The following is an 8,463-nucleotide window of genomic DNA, read 5'->3' on the forward strand; positions in this document are numbered from 1 at the left end:
TCAAGGAATGCTCTTCCATCTCTAATGAGGTTTATCCTTTCATCTCCTGCTTCTCTGCTTTGTACACTTCTCACATATACTCCTCTATACTCTCTATACTCTCCTCTATACTCTATACTGTCCTCTGTACTCCTCTATACTCTCCCCTTCTTTTCTTTCTCTCCTGCAGAACCTACTCCAGCTTCTCCCAGGCCAGGTCCCAAGTGGGATCTGGCCCCAACCCTCCCAGTGCAGCCCATTCTATTAACCCCCTCCTTTCTGGCCACTCAGGCCTTTCACTATCCCCTAGAGGACCCACATTCATCACTCCCTTAACAACCCCACCTCTGCTGGTCCCCTCATTTCCTCCCTCCTCTTTTTCTTCTCTTCTTTGTCACATCACTACCCCTCTCAACCATTCCATACTCCTCCTCTTTCACCTCTTTCTAAAGGTGGGACCCAGGGCCTCATTATGATTTTCATAAAATCTATGCAGCTTTACATTCCTAGGCTCTTTCCACTATGACATCCATATATACATATATAAATAATATTTACATCTGCATTGGTATAAGACATATACAATCCAGGCTGGCTTTACTATTACACATACATTATTATATTCATTTTTCTTCTGATTTTAAAATACATTTTAAAAATTGGAGTGCTCTAAAATGTAAATTAGGCTTTAGGCATGGTGCATACTATGCTCAGTGGATAAGTCTGGCTTGCTGAGACCTCCCAGCGAAATCCTCCACCTGGCACTTGAATACCTTCAGAAGGAACACAATATTTAAAATCTGTAGTAATTTTATCTTGGAATGAACAAACATGGGGAAATAAAGCTTAAAAATAATGTAAGGAAATCCATTTCCATTAAAGATGAGAACATTCCAGAAACAAAAATGCATACGTTAACCTCACTTTACAGCAGTACATGGTGCAGTCTGTGGCAGGCCTTAGGAAAAATGGTTTTAACCCATGACTCACTGAACAGCAATAAAGAAACTATGTTTTGAGTAGATCACTATATAACATAAAATATAAAAGCCTACAAACAAGGTAACTAACATTAAATGTGAATTTGCTATAAATGTTTATTTTTATACTAGCGGCTTCACTAATCAAGTGTATTTTAGATAATATAACCTGTTGCATTTCTATAACGAAGAGATGAAGGCACTGCTAGTGCAAGCATAATGAAACCCATTTATCTCAATGAGAAGGCTAGGAAAAGGATGCTATCTCACTTTATTTTACAAACCCAAACATAGATCTTAGTTACAAGTTCTGGTAATTTTCCATAGATGCAGACTAGTAGCAACCTGACAAAAGCCATGGATTCACAATAGTAAGGTCTTCACATACGTTGAGAATTCACTGCCTAATAAAATTGTTGACAAAGTTTACACCACTGGAGTGCTAGATGAAATGCATTGTTAAATATATTTGGACATAATTTTAAACTGAGACTACCAAGAAGAGACACGTTAAGACTGTAAGTAACGAATGATTAAGTTTTGGTTATTGTAAAAGCCAGTTGTTAACCTGGAGGCCCACATACTCCAACCATTCTGCTTCAACAATCATTGACTTCTGCCTGGGAGTTTCGGTTTTGGCCTTTAGCACCATAAACTGCAGTCACCCAATTCTCCTGAGTCATTCTGTCATAAACCGGATTATTACATTCCCTGATCATCGTATCTTGCTCTGCCTCAAGGGCTTCTCCTGTAAAGTGTAACACAGCTCTTGGGATGACAAAAGTGTGCAAGGTGTGAGCGATGAAGAAGTCTTCCTCATCCTCATTAGCATCTAGGCCCCACTGGAGAGCATTGAAGAAGGGACTCTTGGGGAAATTCCTGAGTGGCGGTACACATCAGCCCCCAAAAACTGTGTCTCTCTTCAGGACCGTTTGCACAGTGACGTTCTTTCCCTTCTTCCATTCTATCATGCTGCCAAAGCAACGCTCTACCGCAGATCCCCTGAAGGGGTGGGGGTCAGACTAATCGAGCTTAGACTTGAGGATGTATGTTTCTTTCGGTCAGCACCTCATTTGTGAAGTAGTCGTTGGGTTCAGAGTGAAATTCCAGCGTAAAAGTGAGTGGCTAGTTTGATTTTGAAAACTTGACTTTCACGTCTTGCAAGAGCTTCAGAATGGGCTCGTCATATTTTTGTTGTTGTTGTTTCGTTTTTTCGGAATATCGCTCTGTCGCCCAGGCTGGAGTGCAGTGGTGCGATCTCAGTTCACTGCAACCTCTGCCTCTTGGGTTCAAGCGATTCTCCTGCCTCAGCCTCCTGGGCAGCTGGGACTATAGGTGTGTGCCACCACCCCCGGCTAATTTTTTTTTTTTTTTTTTTTGTATTTTTAGTAGAGACGGGGTTTCACTGTGTTAGCCAGGATGGTCTCGATTTCCTGAACTTGTGATCCACCTGCCTCGGCCTCCCAAAGTGCTGGGATTACAGGCGTGAGCCACTGCGCCTGGCCTCGTCATATTTCTTAATCAGCGGGGCAACCTCCTGGGCATTCTATAAAGCCGTGAGCCAGAAATCGGGGATCCCTGTAGGATTATCTTTTTCTCCGTCCACATTATGTCCCTCGATTCCTTCATACTCCCCAAACACCTCCCCGACATCCTCGAAATCCTCCTCACGATCCTCCACCAAGTCCTCATACTCCGGATTCTCCTCTGCACCATACATCTGAGCATTAGAATCACCGGCCACCTCATTATACTCATAGTCCTCAACCTTGGACTTCACCTCTCACACTCCTCTTTCGTGGGCTCATACAGTGCATTGGTGATCTGCCGTCTCTTTTCCAATAAGGGTCCATAGATGGTGGCAAACTTCCTCTCGACAGAATGAAATTCCCTCAGGTACTTGGCCTCTAGCACGGCACATTTGGCCTGAAGCTTTTTGAGAGTGTACACTCGGTACTTAACCACCAGAGGCAGGCTCTCAATAAAATCTGCGTCTGAGGAGTACTCCATCAAAGACTGCGGAGAGGCTGTGGCTGCCACAGCGCCGAGTAATGGGCCCATTTCACCGGCTGTGCTGTGTTCTCCGAGCCCTTCCATCATTAGCTTTTTGGCAGGGAAACACTCACCGAACTGTAGGCGATGGCTTGGCCCGGGCCGCCGGCACCTGGGGGTGCTAAGACGGAGGCGGAACGAAGCAGCTACAGCTGCTGTGGAAGCTGGCCTGGGGTGGCGGAAGCCGTGGAAGGCAAGAGTAGCGGGCTAAAGGGCTTTCCCCACTAGCTGCCATGGCAAAAGGAGGAGGTTCCACAATCCGATTGCGCAGAAGATGACTCTCTAAACTCTTTTTTGCTTAAGAGCTCACCCTATTTGCTGAGTAGCTGTGATTGACAAACCGTCGTCCAATAAATGATTAGATCCATCACATTACTAGTGCCACTCACCTTCCTGGCGGTAGCAGCTCCCAAAGTTTCTAGACGGGAGGGGCTTACTGCAAATCATCTGGTCGGGGAGAAGCGGTCGGAAACTGTTTTAAGCCTGAGAAAACTTTAATGTAGAAGAGCAAAGAAATGAGGCGAGAGGTGTTTTTATAGGCCAGAAACGTGACTCAAAGCCTTATATTTAAATACGCGAACAAAAAAGAAAAGGGGGAAAAACATCAAAATATTAGCCGTGAAGAGCTTTAGATGATGTGACTCCCCATTAACCTTTTATTTTCTAATTTTGGCTTTTCAAAATCTCTATGAAGGGCGTGCATTCACTTTAGATTGGTTCAACCCTGTTAGTATTTACTGGGGTGCAGGGGGATGAGATGGCATGGCAATGGAGGGAAAGGAAGGCTTATGGTGACCAGTGCCCACAGTCATATGTATGACAAGTTCACACTTGACATCTGGGTTATCAATAACCCAGAGCACTGCTGCTGAATTGCCAATTACCCTTTCTCAATGCTGGCTCTTTTGGAGGCAAAATGGAAAGGATGCTCATATGTCAAGTGATGTTACTGAAAAGCAAACCATTTGTCTTGAAATTCTGAATAAATTGGAAATACTTGATGACCCAGCACTAGAGAATAGATGAAAGACATAATATGATTTATTCAGAACAGGGAATACCATGTGACATTAAAATTACCTATACTAGGGAAAACAGGTTTTTATTTTTTGGTGATATTTCAATATAGATCACCTATAATTTAAAGATTTCAATTTTTAAAAAGGGTTTGTTATTATATTACAGATATAAAGCGTTTTTTAAAATAACAGTTTAGTGTAACAATCACATAAATACAGTTAGGGTTTTAGTGTATTTGTTTCCAGGTTTTTAGATGTGTGTGTGTGTGTGTTAGTTTTAGAAAATTATAAATGTATTATTGGTTCAGTGTTTCTCACTCTACCTCAGGGCCACCCTATTAGATGACGGGTTTCTAGGGACTGGTGATTGGTTGTTTTCTTATGTTAGATGTGGTGCCTTTGCCACTTTCAGCAGATCCAGATTTCCACTTAATAAAACCCCTAGATGATAATGACAAAGAAGAGGGGAAGAGAAGAAATGGGAGTAGAAAGAGGACAGGGGTGAAATTCTTCCCACTAGGCTGAAAGGCTCGTGTTAGGGAGTCGCAACTGATAGGTCCTGAAGGCTGTCTTGTGTGGAGAATGGACAGAAGAGCTTAAATAGAATATAAAGAAAAGATGTTGTTTTCCTCAGTAAATATCCTATCAATGTTTAACCACTCCTATTGTGTGTGTGTGTGTGTGTGTGTGTACTGTGTGTGCTTTATTAAAACACATCTCATTTAAAATACACTGAAAGCAGAAAACTCAAATAATACGTGAAGTTTCAGTAAAGGTTCAGGTACATGCCTCAGTCCCATAGTTCCATAGTCATAGGTCCTAAATTGCTTTGTTTTCTTTTTTTAAATTCTATAATTACAAAACCTTTTTTCTTTTTCTAATAATAAATATAATACAAGCTTACTTTCAAAAATTTGGAAAATGAAGGATTTATAGTGAATAACAGAAACCACTAGCAGTCTCACCATCCTGAGAGAATTAGTGTGATCGTATCAGTACATTTTCTTCTTCTTTATGTGTGTACAACAAATGCACAACTTAAAAAATTAAGATCATTGTATTGACTTTTCCATACCTGCCCTCTTAGGTTCCTATCATGAGCATCTTCCTATGTCAATAAATGGTCTTCAAAATTATTATGTAAAATATTATTTATTGATAGTTAAGTGACTTAGTTTAATAAATAATAAATGAATAAAAAATAAAGGATAGGTTCATTTAGATGAATTCGAATTTGTAAATTTCTTTTTATAGTCATACAAGCAGTCTTCAAACCAAAAGTGATTACGTTAAATGAAATGTTGCCAAGGAGAACTAAGCAATATACACTAGGATCCCAATTCTGTTTTTTTTTTAAATCTCTCTTTTGATCTAGTTGTACACCTGTCAACCTACCATCCTACACGCACACACACACAAGCACACACACACCCTAATTTGCATAGACAAAGTTTAAAAGGTGACAAAGACACTCTCCTTGACTGAACTTTAGACAGGCTCTTCTAAGCCCTCTTTTCAACTAAGCCTCCTCCATGGGCCTTGTCCTCCAGCTTGCCTAGTCCAGTTTTACCAAGAATCCTGCTAAGCTAGTTTAGACAGGATCTTCCCAATCTTGATATATGATCACCCTCCAAATCTGATCAAATTCCTCATCCCTCACCATCCCCTGAGTGATACAGGATCATCTTGGCCTGCCTTCTGCAAGAATCATATTAGGTCAGTTCAGCAAGAATCCTCCCTACCCTTTATGTCTCTTCTTAGTAATTTTCCACCCACCAAGCAATGCACACCATCCCACCTTCCTACCCCTCTAACTCTTCACCTCCCAACCCCACCCTCACCTGCTGCTTTGCTACAAATCCCCACTTGTTCTTACTGTTCGTGGAGTTGAAGCCCATCTCTCTCCCCATTGTGATAGTCTAGATACCATCTATCACAATAGTCCTTAATAAAGTATTCCTGACTGTTTCATTGGTATCAGAACATTTTTTTCTTTAACAATGTTTAAATACCATAAAGCCATATAGCCAGTTGTTATATCTGGAGTTGTGGAATTTGGGATAATTTCAATGCTTTTTTCTTATGTACATTTGCCAGTATTTCCTATCTATTTTTATAAGTCTATTCATGAGCTGTATAATTAGAAACCATAAATGAATAAATGAATGAGAATGAGAGGAGAAGAGAGAAGCCCCAGCCTTTCCAATAGTAAATAACTCACCTCCCTTCAGAAGGAGCCCAATTGACAAGAGAGATACAGAAAGGAGTCGGGTCACAGGAAAAAAGATTCAATACTTTCAGTGTCCTCTGTCCACCAGCAGGTCCCACTTAGCTTACATTTTTTTCTTTGAGTACATGGTTTGCACACCCCAGGCGTTTCAAAACACTCAGCTGCTGTCATCCAATTTCTAGGTTCTCTAGAGAAACAGAACCAATAGGATATACAGTCATATACCACATAATGACGTTTTGGTCAACGACAGTGGTCCCATAAGATTATAATACCATATTTTACTGTACTTTTTCTATTTTTAGGCATGTTTAGAGACATAAATACTTACCCTAGTGTTACAATTGCCTACAGTATTCAGTACAGTCATACGCTGTACAGGTTTATAGCCTAAGAGCAATAGGCTATACCTTATAACCTACCTGTGTAGTGGGCTATACCATCTAGCTTTGTGTAAAGCATGCTCTATGAGAGTGAAAGGAGAAAAATATACATTTGTTTTGTTTTTTATGATTGTATAATTTTCTTTACTGTTGCTCTTTTTTTTTTTAAATGTGCTTTGAGATAGATACAAAACCAGGGTCGGGTGCGGTGGCTCATGCCTGTAATCCCAGCACTTTGGGAGGCCGAGACAGGTGGATCACCTGAAGTCAGGAATTTGTGATCAGCCTGGCCAATATGGTGAAACCCCATCTCTACTAAAAATACAAAAATTAGCCGGGCATGGTGGTGTGTGCCTATAATCCTAGCTGCTTGGGAGGCTGAGGCAGGAGAATTGCTTGAACTGGGAGGTGGAGGTTGCAGTTAACCGAGATCGTGCCACTGCACTCCAGCCTGGGCAGCAAAGTGAGACTCTGTCTCAAAAAAAAAAAAAAAGACAGGGAGATACAAAACTGGTTTTCAGAGAATTACAAAGGCTAAGACTGATACAAATCCATATGAGATCCAAATATAATAACAAACACAACAGTATTGAACTACTTCTGTTTAAACTTACAATTACTATATTGCCCTTAAGCAAATGTAATTTATGTACATTACAGTTATATAAAATGAGTAGAGAAGTTTTTACTTGACATGCAATAACAATTCAGTAACTACTGCTAGCTCCTTCCTTGCAAAAGTTTTACTTTTGGAAATTTTAATAAGCACAAATATAAAGAACCCAAATTACTAATTTCCAAAGAGTGCAGGTTTGTTTGGCTTGTCTTTCATTAAACTATGGAAATCCCTTGCCTCTATTATAAATATCACAGAACTTTGGCCGGGCGTGGTGGCTCACGCCTGTAATCCCAGCACTTTGGGAGGCCAGCATGGGCAGATCACTTGAGGTCAGGTATTCGAGACCAGCCTGACCAACATGGTGAAACCCCGTCTCTACTAAAAGTACAAAAATTAGCCGAGCATGATGGCAGGTGCCTGTCATCCCAGCTACTCAGGAGGCTGAGGCAGGAGAATCACTTGAACCCAAGCAGAGATTGCAGTGAGCCGAGATCTCGCCACTGCACTCCAGCCTGGGTGACAGAGAGAGACTCTGTCTCAGAAAAAAAAAAAAAAGAATTAAAAACAAATAAGTAAATACTATGCAGCCATAAAAAATGATGAGTTCATGTCCTTTGTAGGGACATGGATGAAGCTGGAAACCATCATTCTCAGCAAACTGTCGCAAGGACAAAAAACCAAACACCGCATGTTCTCACTCATAGGTGGGAATTGAACAATGAGAACACATGGACACAGGAAGGGGAACATCACACACCGGGGACTGTTGTGGGGTGGGGGGAGGGGGGAGGGATAGCATTAGGAGACATACCTAATGTTAAATGACGACTTAATGGGTGCAGCACACCAACATGGCACATGTATACATATGTAACTAACCTGCATGTTGTGCACATGTATCCTAAAACTTAAAGTATAATAAAAAAATAAATATGGCAGAACTTTAAATAACTGACAATAATACAGCCTCATAATAATTCTAATTCTAAAATGATGGAATCAAATCAGAAAACCAGTTTGACCCTCTAACTTATGTTAAATTAGAGCAATGACAAAAGTATTGTATGTATACTTTCTGGCAGATTTTATGTATTTATTTATTTAGACACACAGTTCAGATCTACACGGAAGTAGATCTTCCAAACACAGAGCAACTTAAATCCCATAGGTCTATTTCAACATATTAAATTTAGAGAATAAT

The 8,463-nt window shown here is 40.7% G+C and overlaps 1 pseudogene across 1 annotated transcript; it reads right to left on the bottom strand.

Annotated features, from left to right (window-relative positions):
• Nucleotides 1,214-3,257, bottom strand: NAP1L6P (nucleosome assembly protein 1 like 6, pseudogene; annotated as a pseudogene). The gene has a single exon (NR_027291.1). The product of NR_027291.1 is annotated as a nucleosome assembly protein 1 like 6, pseudogene (transcript).

The sequence above is a fragment of the Homo sapiens genome, chromosome X (genome assembly GCF_000001405.40).
Source record: "Homo sapiens chromosome X, GRCh38.p14 Primary Assembly".
Taxonomy (NCBI): domain Eukaryota; kingdom Metazoa; phylum Chordata; class Mammalia; order Primates; family Hominidae; genus Homo; species Homo sapiens.